The sequence below is a fragment of the Homo sapiens genome, chromosome 5 (assembly GCF_000001405.40).
Source record: "Homo sapiens chromosome 5, GRCh38.p14 Primary Assembly".
NCBI classification, from domain to species: domain Eukaryota; kingdom Metazoa; phylum Chordata; class Mammalia; order Primates; family Hominidae; genus Homo; species Homo sapiens.
In genome coordinates, this window is record NC_000005.10 from 133,453,183 (window position 1) to 133,471,726 (window position 18,544).

The 18,544-nt window shown below is 47.3% G+C and overlaps 1 protein-coding gene across 3 annotated transcripts in view, besides 1 other annotated feature; it reads right to left on the reverse strand.

Moving 5' to 3' along the window:
- The window catches only part of FSTL4 (follistatin like 4), a 645,613-nt gene that overhangs the window by 256,728 nt on the left and 370,341 nt on the right, over positions 1-18,544 (reverse strand). The window lies entirely within an intron of this gene.
- Positions 4,240-5,439: an enhancer, noted in NCBI's record as "CDK7 strongly-dependent group 2 enhancer chr5:132793114-132794313 (GRCh37/hg19 assembly coordinates)". NCBI's record gives its function as "activates an origin of replication core promoter dependent on BRD2, BRD4, P300/CBP, MED14 and CDK7 cofactors, with strong dependence on CDK7, by STARR-seq in HCT116 cells {active_cell/tissue: HCT116}" and the evidence as "EXISTENCE:reporter gene assay evidence [ECO:0000049][PMID:35650434]".

Here is an 18,544-nt window from a genome sequence, read left to right on the forward strand (position 1 = left end):
GAGAAGGCAGTAACAGAACATGGAATTTTTTCTCCTTCCTGAAGGGCCCCATTCATGCCACCTTCTCTTGAAGTCTGTAGTTCTTCATCATCACCATCATCATCATCATCATCATAATTCCCACGGTCTTCATATGACATCTGAGTGTACACAGACTGCATAATAGCTTTTCCAAGATCTTGTATTCAGACTAGATGAACTTCTGAGTGGATGCTCCCACCCCCAGGCAATGGAACCTGTCCCTGGGAGTAGCACTTCACTACACCTGGGCAGAGGGGCCTCACATAGGGACCTATGCTGTCTTATCTTGGGCTATCTCAAGGCAAGTCCCTCCTGGACCCAGGCCAAGGAGCTGGGGACCAATATCTGCCTGAGCTTAGACCTTGGGGCCAGCCCTGACTCTTGCCCACCCAAGGCTGTCAACTTGGAGAAGGAAATGGAAGAGAAGGAACAAGCCACCTTCTTAGAAACCTCCTAGTGGGTCTGTGGCTGGGAGCCACAGCACGCCCCAAGCAAGGGCACTGATCCCCATGAAGGGCCACCATGTCCAGCACGGAGTTGGTGTCCAATAAGGACTCTTAGGTCATCTCATGACTAATCAGGAAGAGGGGGCCAGGTTGAGGGGATGGAGGCTTTGGAGGAACAGTGGCTGCCCAGCCTCTAAGGCAGTGTTTTCACAGTCCTGAAAACATTACAGCATTTTTATATTTCCTAAGAAGTGGAAACAACTAAGTTGGGTTGGGATGAGGCATCCCAGCAACACAGCAGCTGTCAGAAGAGAAGCACAAACCATTCTCAGCAATATAAATATCACATTTCCTCCTCAATCAGCGAGTTTTAATTTATTTATCTAGCTGAGCCATGATGGACACAGTCTGCCCAAATATATTACATGAGGATAATGCAATCTCTTATCCAGAAAACCACCATATTATAGATACTATCACGCTACTTTCTCAAAAGCATTTGGTACCCTAGCAACCAAAAAAGAAAAAAAAACAACAACAACTAGGACATAAAAATTACATTGCATCTGCAATACTTTGTTGAAATTGGTTTTGCAATAAAGCATGTATTGTAAAAACAAAGGTTTAATGATATATCAGTTTGGTGAAAATCTGAGTACAAAGCAAAAATACCTACATCTGAGTAAAGTTGCAGAGCTTTTAAAAATGAAACTTGGCAAGGAAATCCTGGACAAGCTTCAGCTGGAAGGGTGCTGGATTTTAATTTTTTCTGAATGGTGGGTTTGCACCAGCGATACCCCTTCCTCCACACACAACTTCGGCATCAATCCTGAATCTGAACCTTCAGCAGCAGTCGCTGGATCTCATAAGCTCACAGAGGTGGCAGATGGCTGCCTGGACATAGAAACTATTTGTCAAGAAAGGAAAATATCTCTGCCCTCAAAGGCGGCATTTCTCTCACCATGGAATCACACGTTAGCTGGGAACATTTGAAGGGAATTCATGAGGCAGCCGAGCGCGAGTCACGATGGCTGCCCCGCTCTGTGATAAGCCACCACCCACATTCTGTTGACCTAGAATTTGTCTGTTCTGAATACCACACAAAGTTTGCCAGTCACCCTCTGGGGCTTGAAGGCTCTTTTTCTTTTCTGTGGGGGGTGGTCCCTCAGCAACCAGACCAGGCCTGCAATTTCTGAGACCCCAAGATGTGTGGGCTCCTAAAGCATTCTCTCCTATCACAGGGGTCTCCTCATGGCATTTCATTTTAGAGTTTTCTCTGTTGACAATCTCCTTCACAAACTGAGATCGCCTTGAGGGCAGGGCCTTGTCTTGTTGACTCGGTGCCCCACTCCCAGCCCAGTACTTGGTGCAGAGTAGCCCTCACTCAACATGGGTTGGTTAAATGAAGGCATGAGTGTCAGGCTCCATACTAAAGGAGGAGGGTAGAGAGATGAGGGAGACGTGGCCCCTGCCTTGGGAGGTTTGTGGTTGAGTTGAGGAAGAGTGGAGAGGGAGAGGTGCACATGGCACATTCAGTAATCTCCCCATGTTTAGATTTCCTCCTCTTTATTCCTTCATCTACCCAGGCTCCTCTTCTTGGTACTTCCTAGCCTTCCTGCTTTAGAAAAAGGACAAACTCATCCTATGAAAATGCTGGGCAATTATCTTGAGAGGTATTTTTATTTCCCAAGAAAATAATAGGCAAGGAAACGCTGAACCCATAAGAATGAATGAGAGCATTTCTGGCATAGTAACTTCTGGGCGAAGGTAAAACATTGCAACTGCTACCGATAACACAGCAAAAGATAAAATAAATTTGTTTTTTAAGCATATATATATATATATGTGTACCTCATTGATTACATTTCTTAACATACATTGATTGCGTTTTCAAATACCTGCTAGAAAGGCCCAGGCATGCAGACTTAGCCAGCTGAAGCTGACAAGAGAGGGTCTTTGAAAGAGGCCTGCAAAAGAGAAATGTCTAGATGGAGAGAAAAGAAGGAAAATCCCAAGGGAAGTTTTATGTCAGCTCAAGACCATATTCAAGGAGGCTTCAAGAGCAAAATGATACTTAAGGTCTTAGAAGAGAAGTGAATGGTCAAAAGGCAAAGGGTTGGTGACATGGAATTATGAACAAGACTCCTGGCCTGGTGCCCACACTCCACCACAGCCTGAGGACATGGACTTCTGCAAACCTGTGCTGGCCTCCTGCTCCCTTGCCAGGAAGGGAATGCCTCCAGCCTGGGCTAGCACCCAGAAGTTCATGTGCATGCTCCCTCTGAACCCACAGGGAGGCTCCTGGAGGTCTGACAGTCGCCGAATACTTCTAGGTTCCCAGCTCTCGTAGTGTCTTGTCATCAGCAAGTTCTACTTGCTACGTGTAAGGCAGGGGAGGGCGTTCTGGGGATAGTAAGTTAGCAATGCAGGTATTTCCTGTAAAGAGCCTCAGCCATGTGGATCAGTCTTTTGGGCATAATGTCCTGGTTATATTAGGACCCCAGGGACTCTTGGAGGAGCTCCTCAGGGTCCTTCTGTATCTCTGATTTCTGCAGCACATCATTCACTGACTCACACATGCACATACACACACCCTAGCCCAAACCTCCTGGTGGGTGGAGATGAAGCCCACTGGCTGTGAAGCTGGCCGTCCTGAGACAACAAGTGGGCCATGCTCGGACTGGACGCCAACTTAGGCCTTGTGATAGCTTTGGCTTCTACTTTTTGCTTTAGCTTTGATGTGCTCTGGGTTACACACTTGGCTAGTGAGCCCTGCTTTTGGGGGATGGTCACCCTCCCCTTTCTTCAGTGTAGCTTACGCATTAGTCCAGCTTAGGGAGGGGGAAAACCAGCTGATTCTCTGCCTGCTGCCTACACTGCCTTCAAGACCCAGACACAGGCTTTCCCTGCTGAGGCCAACAGCCCTTGGTGGTCACTGGCACTTTGGGTTAGGACCCAATAGTATGAAGCTTTCTTTCTTTCCTTTTTTTCTGAAGACTTGTCAATGGTCAAGGCACATCATACAAAGTTGTACTTAAAAAAACAAAACAAAACAAAACAAAACAAAACAAAAAACCCTGAAGCACAAGTAACACACCACATAAGCATGCAATTTTCTTCACTATGGTTTTGCCCCAGCATAGGAACGAGCCCCCAACTATCTGTGACATGAATGGTTCTGAGTTGAGAAGAGCTGGGAGCACACACAGCCTGGCTGCACCCAGAGGATGCCCCAGGAAACCTGTCTGCTTCCTACCTCTGGTCCATTTGTGCCCTGCTGACTTTTTGAATTTTTGCCCTTCAGATCTCTACACAGTACAGGAACTTGCTGAAAGACCTCATGAAATATGACTGGTGAGATTCCATTCCTCTGACCCTCAGCAAGGATGGAGCTAAATGCACTGGGTGGAATTTACAACCTATAATTTTCTGTAACATTTTTCCTGGAGTGGGGAGATAGAGAAAGAAAAAAAAAAAGAAGAAGAAAAAAAGAAAGCTAAGAGAAGGAAATATAATTTCAATTCATTCATGATTTATCTATTCCCTCCCTGTGGCTGCAGGGGAATTTTAACTCGGTTGCAAAATGGCCTGGTTGTGCAAGATGCCACATGCCATGGAACTGCAAACAGCATGCGCACGTTAACCTTTCCTTTGCTGGCTGCTTCCAGCCTTTCACCCTGCTGCTACCTGGCCTGACATTTTATAGATTTCAGCAACTGGGCAGGATATCACGGGCCTTCTGGAGCACACAGGTGGGTGGTACCTGGTATGCATAGACTCACCCCTTTCCCCGCACAAACAAAACTCTGTAGCCAATGTGAAACAGAATGTTTGAAATCTGTGTCCTTTCCACTTCTGCTGCTTTCTCCTTTATCCAATGCCTTTCCTTTGAAATGCTGTGAAGCCCTGAAGGGATGCGAGTGAGCTGTGAAGAGGAGCCTCTTAGAATTGTCAGTTTCATGTTAGCCAGCCAAGGCAGCGGGGCCAATCAAACGCTTCTCAGCTGCCTGTGTCATTTGCACTGATGGGCTCCACCTACAAAGGAGTCGTCAGCATCTCAAGTCTGCATTGCCCCACTTGGTGTAACAAAGCCCTTCCCCATACATTTCCCCATTCAATCTGCTTCTGCCATTTAATCAAGCATTCTTTAACTTCCAGAAGAAAAGGGAACACAGTGACCTTGGAAGGAGTGGATGAGGCCATTAATCAATGGTCTCTGCATGTAAATGAGGAGCAGCCAATTCCTACAGCTGAGCATCAGATTCCAATTAGTGCACAAGACCGAGTCCGGGAGGAAGGGGTTAATGTCAAATGTCACCAGGCAGAAGAAACACAGGAAAATTCATTCCCATAGCCTGGCCTCCGACAAGCATCTATCTATCTATACGTTCAGCTGAACTTTCCTTTCCCATTCTGCGCAGTGAACAGTCATTGTTTAAAAATGTCATGATAATAATCAGCTTTTGCGGCAAAGATATGAAAAATGTATTTTAAGATCAAAAGGATGATATTGTCTTCCAGCAGATTACACATTCCGCCCACAGAAAAGGCTAATCTGATGTCCTCAGAGAGGAAATAGGTAAACATTTTCAACATTATCACCATCTGTGTTTCATTTCTTTGGGCCTGCTCAAGAAAAAAGTTATTTATGTATTAATAAAAAAGAATGATTTTGTCCTTCAGAAAATGGTAATGGCAGCCTTGAAATATCTGCCTTGGGTTTTACAATCCCAGCTGTGTATGCCCAGGAAGAAACAGGGATGCCATCAGCTCACCTCCTTGGGTAGTGAGCCTCCTTCCTCCCCGTTCTCTGTCTTCATCCCAAATTGAAGTTAGGTCTGGCATTGGCCAAGGCAGCATCTCATCCCATGTATTTCATGAGGAGAGAATAGGCTTCCTTAATGGGAATGCCAGAGAGGTGCCCTGGGGTTGGAATCCCCGTCCTTCTGCATCTGGCAAGCCACATGTCCTCTCTGGGCCTGGGTCCCATCTGTGGACTGGGGATGGCCTGGCCTCATGGGAATGCCCCCAGATGATGGGCAACTGTTTTCCAGTTACCAGGGCCTCACAGACACAAGCACTGGCATCACTGTTGTCTGTGGGAGTATTATCACCAAACACAAGGTGGGAGAGGAGGAGGGAAGGATTGAGTGCTGTAAAACCTGCAACCTTTTAGATTGTTTCAAGCGTTGGCTTGGACAGCCTCCTGTGAAGGCCCCATCACATCCTCCAGGAGCTCTGGAGCAGCAGGGGGTAGGGTGCACACACACCTGTTGTAGACGGGGACGGAGGAGAGGCGCAGCGGACATTAGACACCCCAGCTCCCATGGCCTCTGAAAGTCAGGCTGGTGCTGATGGATGGCTCAGACCTCTGCCTTAGAGGTATGGTGTCACTGCCCCCACCTCCAACAGACCCCACCTGCCTCTGGAAGCAGGAGGGCATGTGTGGGGCTGAAGGCTCTCGGGAAGCTTTCAGCCAGCAGTCTTCCAGAAACTGCAGAGATTCCACTGTTTTTCCCCATTTCCTTGGGCCTGAGAGGCTGAAGCAAAGGGCACATATGTTTATTCTGAGGCTAAAAACAAAGAGCAAAGCAAACCCACCGACAGTCCCCGAGAGTGCTTTCCCTTTCCACCACCCTGGGGTCCGTGCAGGGCAGCCCTTCCTCCAAAGCAGTGGAGAGGGAAGCCCCCATCAGCCACCACCCATGAAGAGTCTGCATGTGGAATTAATAGCATACCAAGAGTCACTCAGTATTTAGGACAATTAAATATGACGAGGATTAGATTTTTTTAATTCCAGGTTAAAAAAAACCCACTTATTTAGAACTTCAAGTGTCAATATAAAATAATGTTTTTTTAAAAATTGTTTTGCTCTCAAAAATCTACCTTAGAGTTGAGTAAATTAAATATTCAATTAGCAGATATTATCAAACATCTGCAGAGGAGACTGTGGAGAATTAACAACAAAGCAAAACCAAACAGACAGTCCTTGTCCTCCAGCAGTTTGTAGTCTGAGGCAATGGGGTCACACAGGAGAGGAAAGAGGCTGTGGGGGCCAAGGCTACCTCTCTCATGGGAGAACAGGAGACCATAAGCGTCAACTCAGGCTTTGGGAAGTGAAATGCTGTGGCGCTGAGTTTTGGGTTATCTTTGATGAACTCTGGCTTATCCACACTGGACTAGTGAGCTGTGTGTCTCACCACCCTCCCCTTTCCCTAGGCAAAGAATCATGCCACACTCTCCCCCTGCCCCTGTCATGGACACAGGGTCCTCCTTTGAGGTAGGAAAATAGGATCTGGAGGCAGGAAACACATGAGGCTGATTCACACTTCAGCTACGAAAGGAAATATCCTCCCCATAGGGTGTACGCCGAGTAAATGACTTTGTAACTTTACTTCATCCTCTTCATTTAAATAGGGTGTAAACCAAGTAACCAATGGAATCCTCTAGAGGGTATTTAAGCCCCCATAAATTCTGTAACGGGGCCCTTCAGGCCCTATGCTCAGGCCCGCTCCCACACTGTGGAGTGTACTTTCATTTTCAGTACATCTCTGCTTATGTTACTTCATTCTTGCTTTGTGCGTTTTGTCCAATTCTTTGTTCAAGACACCGAGAACCTGGACACCCTCCACCGGTAACACCTTCCCCAGTGCTCTTTCCAAGGGCAGCAACCAAGCCACCGGGGGGATGACAGCGCCACCTAGTGTGCAGCTGTCTGTCCGCCATCTGATTTTGGGGTCCCCGCTCCTCCTTGCAGGGACCACACATTTTCTGCTCCTGGTCTTTTGCAGTTTCCAGCTCAGTTAGTTTCACCTTATCATTGCTTCTCGCATGAACACACATTTCTTTTCTTTCTGTCTATGAGCTCCAGGGCTCTATTCCTAGAGAAGCCTAATAGTCGCAAGCCTCATCTCCGTTTTAAGAAGTAACAGGGCATGTTTTATAGTGAAACTGAAAAAAAGTCGACTTTCCAGTGGGGCCCAACGCTACCTAGGGGATCTGATTGTCTCTTTGGAAACTTTCTACAGGGAGTATTCACTGGGTCAGGGCAGGCCTGAATGCTAGTCACACTGCTGGCTGTGTGACTTTGGGCCAAACACCAAATTTCTCTGAGTCTCAGTTTCCTCGTTTGATAAACAAGGGCTTGAATTGAGCTCTGGCTCAAACGCCTTCCAACTCTTGCATGCTCTGAGGCTAACTTCTCATCCTCTTTCAGTTAAATCTGTTTCCTTCAGGTTACGCCAAGCAAGAGAAAATAAAGGAACAATTTCCCTTTCAGTGCTACAATTTTTCTTATAACATTGGATTCCATGATATTAATTGTATGTATAAAGTAGTTTTTAGCAACATTGAAGGTTAAATAAAGTTTTGGACACTAGTGCAGAAGTCAAACCACATTCAGGAGAATACTCCTGTGGAAAAAAATGCATTTTTGTTTTCAAAGGTCTAGATGACTGCCTAATGCTAAACTGCTGGGAGCAAAACTCTCTTGTGAGTTGTGGACTGCTTGCACAAATCACTTACTCAAATTCCATCTGTCAATGTGGCTCTGATATTAAAATTGCCAATCTAAAGGGACAATACCCTAACTAGCATGGGTTTCAATCCACGACACAATATTGGGGCCTCCATCCATCCTCCCCTGTCATAACAGACTGATTACCTCCAGAAGTGGTTCTTCAAGAACAGGGTGACTGTCACATTTTTGGCATTTTGGCCTCTTGCAAGGGACTTAATTACATTTCTAGGTAGTTTACTGGAGCTTTAAACATTTTTCTGTTCCATATCCTAACTCTACAGTGCAATCTCCCAGTTTTAGTTCACCAATGTTTGTTGCTGTAAATCTGTCCTTGAAACATCCTGGGATGAATGCAAATTTGATTTTTACTCCCTAAACAAACAAACAAACAAACAAACAAACCCTCCGAATTAGCAAAGAAATTCTACGGAAGTTACAAGCTAGGCTCTGTTGCTGACTGACTGGACATATCTGGGGCGCCCAATAAGATATTTTTCACTCCAGTGACCTTGGAGAAGGGTTGGATGCTTCATCCTTATTCACTATTCTGCTATTCATATCAAAGCATTTTATACCATTTATATGATTTATCATGCCATTTGATCAGCCTGCGTAATAAGTCTCATAAGTTATCTTCATTTGAGAACTTTACTCCCCCAACACATTTAAAAAGAAAAGACCGAGACCTAGGATGTTTAAATAAGAAAATAACTACACATTCTCACAACCACACCTCAGAACCTCCTGGCTCTCAGCAAGGATGAGACAAGCTCTAGGCCTATGCAGGTTTAGAGGAAGAGTCCTGCCAAGCACAGGCCCTGCTGCCAGCCATGATATGAGAAGTAAACAATGGTCTCAGGCAGCAAGTGGGGGCCATCTGCTTTCAAAAACCATCTGACCTCACCTGAGTCCATCACAGACACTGTCCAAAGAAGGGGCATTGGGGAGAGAAAGGTAGACACAGATCTCAAGACCACGTCCTCACTGAGGCAAGAGAGCCACGACAACTGCTTCTGTGACATGCCCCGATGTCCCCTCTGGCCCCCCAGATGATGTCTTCTCAAACAGAAAGCTGGCCAGGTGCTCACACACAGGCTTGGCACTCATAGCCCTTGAGGGGCAGGGCCTGGGAGCTTGGTCCTCCCTCTCCCCACACCCTGGAGAATTCCTAGGAAATATGCCAAGCTCTGTGTCCCTTTGGTGCCAGGGCACATGCGTGCTCTTGTTCTCACTCCAAGATGTAGAAAACACCTTAATTATCTTTCAGCCCATTAACACTCAACTCTGTGGCCCAGAATTCAATTCAACTCAAGTGGACTCAAAGTAGCACATGTGGAGGATGCAGGGGTTGACTCTGGAGCCTCCACTTCACTCCTAACGATTAATCAAAGACACTCCTGAAATCCCACTTCCATGACAACGATTGGTTCGGGAAGGAGCCGGTAGACTACCCTGGCCAGTGAAATGTGAGGAGTGCTAAGAAGGATTCTGAAGAGATAGTCTTTTTCCTTGGATGTGGGTCTGTGAGTGACTCTGCACGGTCCAGCTGGAAGGCTAAGCTGGCCCACGAAGGATGATAGAGTGGAAGGAAGCCGGCGCTTGATACTGATGATGGTTCTGAGCCTGGGGCCTGCCCTATTCATGGACTTGGCAATGTGTAAAAATAATTTTCCCTACTATTTGAGCCAGTTTGGGGCTTTCTGTAACCTAGAGAGCAGGTGACCTGACACCACACTCAGTTTCTGAGCTGCGCCTGGGCCAAGGTCTCAGAGATGGGAGACTTTGTGCTCCTGGAGTTCGCAAGCAACCAGAGTCTGGCTTCATCTTCCTTCCAAAGCCTGGCTGAGGAATGCCGTGCGAGGCAGGAAGTCTCTTCTAGGTCTCAGGGATTTGACCATCTTTACTATGCATGAAGCACCAGCAAGCAATCACGGCAGGCCCAAGGCCACGCCAGCATCCTTAGTGACTGTGTGTCAGGCCTCACAGACACTCCCTGTCCTATGAGTACCTGGTGACAGAGATTTGAACAAATTTTAGTCAGGCTTTTTTGAGCCCTCTGCTTTGCAGGGCCTAATCCTTGGTCTACTGGGCCCAGTTTTAGCAAAGAATCCTGAGAAGCCAATTTATCCAGGATCCTCCACTCTTGATATCCAATCAAGTGTCTCTTCCTCCACCTAGAAGTCTAATCAAGTTCCCCACCCCCTACACCAAACTAAGCCCTCTTGGTAATTTTCCATCCTTTCCCTTACTCCACCAGCTGTAAATCCCTACCTGTCCCTGTCGTATTTGGACTTGAGTTCAACCAAGTGTTAGAGCAATTTCTCTTCACCACTGGCCATCCATTTTCCCCTTGTACCTGTGCTTTGTGTTTCTTCTCTGGGGTGCAAACCCAGACAGCAAGGCAGGGGAAATGGTCTGTTCCCTAAAGCACACTCTCCTCCCTCATCTTTTCCTGGCTTCTCAACCTCCTAGGACAAATTTCTTACATAATCAGAGGACTGGGTTTTTCATACAGCTATGAAGATTAAAGTACAATATCCTGTGTCAAGGAGTTTGACTTTAATATATCCTGGCATAGATGACTGATAGCCTTTCCTGAGAGCAAATGAGGAGAGAGAACGAATACAAGTGACTGCATGAATGAATCAATTACTAAATGAAGGTGCTGAGCACCTGAAGGCAGGCTGGAGAATAGGAAGGACCAGCAAAGTTAGGTGGAGGCTGGGGAAGCCAAGGACTGGCTTCTTCACTGGCATTACAAATTTGGTGCAGAGCAGTTCCAAGCCTTCTTGCCAAACTATTCTTCCATGTCAGTATCGATTCATTGTTTTGAATTCAGTCTCAATCACCTCCCAAGGTGACAGTCCCTGAACCTGGAGTGTGTACTCACTGACATATCACAACTGTGATGGATCAACCGTCTCACGTCTCAAGGTGCCCTTGGATGTTCCACCTAGAAGCTCTGCTTCTGAGATGACACTTACACTAAGCAGTGTTGGGGCCGCCCCTCCCCGTCTGCACAAGACATCTGTAGCCCAGCCCTGCCTTTGCTCTATCTGAGCGCAAATCCACCAGGCCAGGTGCGGCAGTGGAGGTGCCCAGAAGAGCCCAAGTTACTAACTTGAAGGCTGCTACATTTTCCCAAGAACAAAATCACTCTTCATTGCTGAGTCCATATGCAGGTTTTTCTGGTTTAATAATGAGAAAGACAGTCCCACCCCCACACCACCAAATACCCCAAACAAAACCATAGCCCAGGCTTAAAAGGTTCCAGTTGTTCAAGGGATATCTCTCTCTCTCTTTCACAAAAGGAAAACCTTTACTGGTTTTACAAACACAGCATCAGCAGAGGGGCCGGCCTCGTGGGGAAAAGTTCATTTGACTCCTGTGGCACAAGCAACTCTCCCAGAACAGCAGCTTCCAGCACTGAGCTCATACTCCTACCTTCCCCCCATGGAGGGGAGAGGTGCAGGTCAGCCATGAAGGAGGGAGAAAGCTGCTGCAAGGAAGCCTGGGGAAAACTTGGTCCCTGGACCTGGAGGCCACACAGAGTCGAGCCAGGGAGTTGCTCACCCAGCTGCAGGATTTGATCGGGGAAATTCTCAAAGGTTATGCAAAAGAAGAGGCTGTTTTCATACTTTTTATGTATGTATTTCATACAAAATATAGCGGACTCAACTAGTAATTTAAGTGGGACCTTTCTGTGACCTTCCCTGATAGGAGCAGTCTCTACTCAACCACATCTATAATACATCCCCAAGAAGTCAGTGCTTGGCTTCCCCAACCCCCACCTACCTTTGCTGGTCCTTCCTATTTTCCAACCTGCCTTCAGGTGCTCGACACCTTCGTTTATTAATTGATTCATGCATGCAGTCACTTTGTATTTACTCTCTCTCTCTCCTCATTTGTTCTCAGTAAAGGGTATCAGTCATTTATATGAATGGTAATTTGCACATAGGGCAGTCCGGCCTGCTATCTTTGCTAGTCCCTGAAAGGCGTTGCCACATTGGTCTCCCCTGGCCTCTGCCCATGCCATGCTCACTCCTTTCTTTGCCTGGTGTTCCCTCCATTGGGAGCACCCATTCTATTTCTTACCCACCCTTCAAAGTCAGGCTCAAGTTCTTATGGCCTCTCAAAGTCTTTCCTACCTGATTTAACCCATATTAGTCTCCTCTGAGCTCCTCTCATCCGTAAGACCGTGCCACAGAAATATGAACAGGATTCTGTGCTGTCTTGTATTATCTTGTTACTTTCCCCCCAAATAGAGAATAAGCTTCCTGAGGCCAGGTCCCATGCCACATATTCCACGAAGCCCCAAGCAGGGTGCTGAGCCCAGCCCATGGTGGGAGCGGTGGTTGTTCAGGAGTGAGGCAGACTAGCTCTGGGTTCTAGTCCTGGGTGGGTGACCCAGAATCAGTTCTTGCTCTGGGCAGGGGGTGGGGAGGCCACTCCCCACACACATGGAGGAGCACAGTGGGGTTGGGCCAGTGCTCACTGTCCTGGTAAGGGAGCAGTTCCTCTCAGACTTTGGTGAGTGGCAGCACAGCTGCAGGTGGGCCTGGGTGACAGCGACTGTGTGAGCCTGAACAGAGGGTCAGTGCTGTCTAAGGTGGGAGGAAGAAAGTCTTAATGAGGACCCTGACAAAGCAGCATGCAACATGGGCACTGAAACCAACTCTAACAGGGATACTGGATTTCCAAGTGATTTTATCGATGGTTGAAGGCTCAACATCGTGGCTAGCTTATCGTAGAGACCAGACCTCTAATCCCTATGCCAACAAGCTTCCAGTGCTTATGGGAGAGATTAAGTTAGGATTTGTACATTTTCCTGCAGTGGGGCAGGGGGAAGGAATAATTTGTGCCCCTCACTTGGTTGTGAGTGGAAGGAAACGGGACATGGCCTCTGCCATCAAAGTGTTTACCCACTTCTTGAGCAAGTTTCTCACCACATCCTGCTCCCCATATGGGAAAGGAGGGGGCAGGGTGGGGACAGAGTCCCTGATGAGCCAATCCATCAATCTCTCTCTTCCCCAGGGTTCTCATTTTGAGTGGAGTTGAGGTAGAAGAATTCCTTGGGACAAGAACACTTACCGGCCAGGTGCGGTGGCTCAAGCCTGTAATCCCAGCACTTTGGGAGGCCGAGGCGGGCAGATCATGGGGTCAGGAGATCGAGACCATTCTGGCTAACACGGTGAAACCCCGTCTCTACTAAAAATACAAAAAATTAGCCGGGTGCGGTGGCAGGCGCCTGTAGTCCCAGCTACTCGGGAGGCTGAGGCAGGAGAATGGCGTGAACCCAGGAGGCGGAGCTTGCAGTGAGCCGAGATAGCGCCACTGCAGTCCGGCCTGGGCGAAAGAGCGAGACTCTGTCTCAAAAAAAAAAAAAAAGAACATTTACCAATCCTCAGGGTTACTCATTCATTCAAAGTTCATCCATCCACCCATCTACCATGTATCCGGTCAACATTTATTGAATTCCCTCTGAGTAATAAATAGACCCTTTGCCACATGACAGGAGTACAAAGTGAACAGGGCAAGGCCCTGCCTCTCTCAGGCTGCTCACAATCTGGCAAGGGCAACAGAGAGACAAATGGATGCAAGACAGTGTGAAATTGAGATAAGTCCTAAGCCCAGCACGCTGGGGAAGGCTTCACAGGGAAGGACGCCTGGCCTGAGGAATGAGGAGCAGTCTAGGGTCAGAGTGTGAGTGTGTGTGTGTCAGTGTGAGTGTGTGTGTGTGTAAGTGTGAGAGTGTGTGTGAGAATATGAGTGTGTGAGTACGAGTGACTGTATGTGTGTGTATGTGTATGAGTGTGAATGTATATGTGACAGTGTATGAGTGTGTGAGCATGTGTGAGTGTATGTGAGAGTATGATTGTATGAGTATATGTATGTATGTGTGCATGTGTATGTGTGAGTGTAAGAGTGTGTGTGTATATATGTCTGAATATGTATGTGGGTGTGTGTGTGTATATGTGTATGTGTGTGAGAGTGAGTGTATGAGTGTGGGAGTATGCGTGTATGTGAGTATATGAGTGTGTGAGTATATGAGGGTGTATATGAGCATGTGTGAGAATGAGTATATGTGAGTGTGTGTGTGTGTGTGTGTGTGTGAGTGTGTATGTGTACACCACTGCATTCCCTGGGACAGAGGCTCAGTGGCATGACAGAGTGAAGGTGTGAGAAGCCAGGTTTCCCACGGCTGGGCCTGCAGGAGGAGGCTGGCTCTCCCCTCCCTGATGCCAAGGGTTGTCTGATACGTTGTCTCCTAGCTTACAGGAAGCCACAAAGCCATTAAGAAGTGGCAAATTATGATCTGATTGTGTTACTTGTGTCTTGGGCCGCCCCTACTGCGACTGAAAGGAGGGCAGCTGGGAGGAAGACAGTGACCTCAGCAGGGGCTGCTGCAGAAATCTGGGTCACAGAGGGTGGGCCTGAGTCAAGGCTGTGACGGAGGGGATGGGCAGAAGACAGAATCCATAGGTCTTGCAGGCAAGGGGGAGAGAAGGGCAGGAGTTCCCTCAGAGAAGCCAGGAGTAGAGGCTTGCACCCCCACCCCGATGGAGCACACGGCTCACCTCATAAAGGCCTCAACCTCCTGAGCAGCCTGTGCTCCCTGGTGACTGCTTTCTGGCTGTTTGCTCAGACACTGCTGGCTGTGAACTAAACACTCCTAAAATGTTTCTTATACATTGCAGACGTTTTTCTACCTTGAAACACTCGGGTGGTTTAATTTGTTTTCTGAAATAACAAAAGCAATTAGAGTAATTGTCTTCAGAATGGGGCACTCCTAGGGAACAACCTCAACCCCACACAGGAGGCGCCTGGCAGATTCATTCCAGGTTCATAATTTATGGAGCAATTTGCCTGTCCTCTCACAGGCAGGAGCCTCTCAGCAAGGGGAAGGTGTACCAGGCACCAGGTGACTTACTTGGTAGCCTGTTTGTAGCTCCTCTTGCTGGGAAGATGAAAATAAGAGATAGTTACTTCCCACCATGGGGAAGGCTGGGGGAGGCAGGCAGGGGGAGGCCTGCCCACCCAGCACAGGACCTCTGGGCACCAACAAGGGCTCTGTGGGTCTTGTCTTAGTGCCCTGTGGGTGTCCCTGCCCCAGGGCATCGCTCTCCTGGTTTGCAGATGACTCCATCCCACTGAGCTAGAACCAGACCCTGGGTGCCACAGTCCAGGATGGGTGGGAATGATAAGCTGGATGTGGTTTGTGGCTGTCTGTATTTTGGTTCATTTCCAAGACAGGTGATCAGCAGTATTAGGGTGAGTTAAGAATGGAAGAAGGTGACTGTGGCTTCATCTCTTCCTCTGTTTTCTTATGAAGGCCGACTCGAAGTTTCTCTGAGAGAATTACTAGACCTGCCCTCTAAGGCAGAGGAGCCCAAGCCACGGAGCCACTGCCTTTTCTCCCTCTAGCCATGTCAGCATTGTATCAGCAGCACCACCATTCAGGCCGCAGGTCAGCTGCTCAGCAAGCCACACCCCAGCCTAAGGTCCAGGTCCCAGACCTGAGACTCAGTGTGGCAGCACCGGGCAAACTCCCCCAGTTGTTCCTGTGCTGCAACCTCTGCCAAGGGACTTCTGACAGGCAGGCCAGCTATGACCAAGCTCACCTCCAGGACTTTCCAGCTCAGTGCGGGAAACAGACGGCTACCCAACCAACATGCAGAATGACCTATACGTTACACAATAACACACACGAGGGAAGAGCTGAGAGGGTGGAGGGGGTGAGAGATTCCCTACAAGTGCAGGAATCATGAAACTTTCTTGAGAAATAGCATTTAATCCAGGCCCTAAAGGAAGGGCAGTATTTGAAAGGCAGGTATAATTACTCTTAATTGCAAAAACCACAATTACTTTTGCACTGACCTCACAGAAGTCAGTGCATCTCAAGCTGAACAAATGCACAGACATGTGAAAGCAGAAGATGTGTCTGAGAGGGGACTGCTGGTCTCACTTGGCCAGAGGGCAGGAGCCAGAGGAAAGCAGAGGGAGGTAAGGTTAGAAAGACCCCTCAGGACCGGATTGTGAAGAGGCCGAATGGCGATCAAGGTGATAGATTCTCCTCTGTGTGCTGGGAGACCCAATGCCGCCAATTCTGAAGACCGTGGGCTGCATTGGCCAGGGATGCAATGGAGCCAGGAACTCTGTTGGCAAGATCTGCTCAAGGAGAAGAGAACAGTCCAAGAGCTCATAACCAGAGCTGCATTGAGATGTGGCTTTGGGAAAGGGATGAATGACAGATGACCCAGTTTTCCACTTTAAGCAAGTGGGTGAATTTTGGTGCTGTTCCCTGCAGCCAGCATGACTGGAGGAGATGCAGATAGTGTTGGACCTGGCAGAGGGGATGGAACAGCTTTGCTTTGGGCATGTTAAACTGGGAATGCCACATACTAATATTAGAAAGCCAGATGTTTCAAACATTTTAAAAACAAAAGGAGAGGGTTCAAAATGACAGGGTAGGTACATGCATTTCTTTCGCCTGCTGAGACTCAATTACAATGTCTTTAAAAGAGTAAATTACAACAGTAAAGATAGTGGAAGAGGCACCCTTGGTGAGCAAGGGATTTAAGTACATTTCCAGAACATTCACTGGCGCACAGGACAGAGGACACCTCAGTCCACAGCCCACAGCCCAGAACATATGCAGAAGAGGCAGCCGCCGTACAGGGAGCCCACCTCCAAATAACACCTCCCTCAGAGGCACAGTCAAGATAAGGATGGGGAAAAATTGAAGCGCTATATGTGGAAAACTCTCTTATGCAGAAAAAAAAAACAGAAGAATTTTTTGCCTAAAGAAATGGAATCCACAGCCCGCAGAGAACCACGGTGGTTCCTGTGGGTGTTAGCACCTTCCATACTCTGGAAGGGCATTGCGTAGGGGCTGCTCACGTGACACCCAGCTCCCAGCCTGCTCATCCTAAAGTGGAAACTGCCAGCTGACAGGCCCTGCCCTGGAATAAGAGCTTCCAGTCAACCCTTGTGCTGTCCTTACTTCCGTATTGGAGTGGACAACCAAGAATTGCCAGACCCGCAACAGAAAACACACAGAGCAGTACCACAGATGAGCTGAAAACAAACAGATGAACAAACAATGACAGCTGACTAAAAATAAAACCCAAACAGAGATAATCCATGTGACAGAAGAAAACTAAAAGTAAAAGCATAATTCCCAAAGAAAGCCAAACACTGCAAACTAGTATCCTCAGTCGGTTTCAACAAGATGCCACTTCTAGGAATCAGAAAGCAAGAAAGTGTGCTTGAAAATTAAAAGCATGAGTCTTAGGCTGGGCGCAGTGGCTCACGCCTGTAATTGCAGCATTTTGGGACGCTGAGGCAGGCGGATCACCTGGGGTCAGGAGTTTGAGACCAGCCTGGCCAACATGGTGAAACCCCGTCTCTACTAAAAATACAAAACTTAGTCAAGAGTAGTGGCGCGTGCCTGTAATCACAGCTACTCAGGAGGCTGAGGCAGGAGAATCGCTTGAACCCAGGAGGTGGAGGTTGCAGTGAGCCAAGATTGCACCACTGCACTCCAGCCTGGGGAACAAGAGTGAAACTCTGCCTCAAAAATAAAATAAAATAAAATAAAATAAAATAAAATAAAATAAAATAAAATAAAATAAAAATAAATAAATAAAAACATGAGTCTTGAAACAAAAAGTTCAATACTCAGATCAGATGATAAAGCCAAGAGAATTTTCCAGAATATAGAATAAAATATATAGAACAGACACTTTAAGAGAAAAGTAACAGAAAATATTGATACAGGAGGTCTCACATGCAATTAAGATTTTTAGAAAGACAGAAACCTGAGAAGAGGAAGTTGCTTAAGAAAATTATAATTGCTTTTATTTGAGGAAGGATATATGTCTTTAGGCTGAAGGACCCACAAAAGGAACCACAAAGTCAGACACATCATTGCAAAATTTTATAACATCAAGGACATTAATGTTATTTTGTTCATCATGGATTTTTTTGCATTAATTTTGATTTGTAAAATATTGCATTAAAATATTATTTGTTTTAACTACCGCGTCTTTGTGTTGGAGGCACGCACCTCAATTGCCTCACTCTGATCCTCGCCCTGTTTTGTGCCAGGCATAGAAACTGGAGATAAGTGAGTGAATCAGCTTCTACTCTCATGAACCTTAAAGGGTTCATGAAGGGATTGCTCTGGTCCCAATGCTGTGTCCCCCTCAACTCATATGTTGAAATCTTAACCCCCAAGGTGATGGTATTAGGATGTGGGGCCTTTGGGAGGTGATTAGGTCAGGAGAGTGGAATTCTCATGGATGGGATTGGTGCCCTCATAAAAGAGACCCCAGAGAGGCCTCTGCCCCTTCTGCCATGTGAGGACACAGCTGAAAGGTGCCATCTATGAACCAGAAAGTGGGCCCTCACCAGACTCTGACTTGGCCAGTGCTTTGATGTTAGACTTCTCAGCCACCGAAATTTTAAATTTCTGTTGTTTATCAGCTACCCAGGCTATGCGATTTTGTTATAGTAGCCTCAGTGGACTAACACAGGGATGATCCTAATAGCTTCC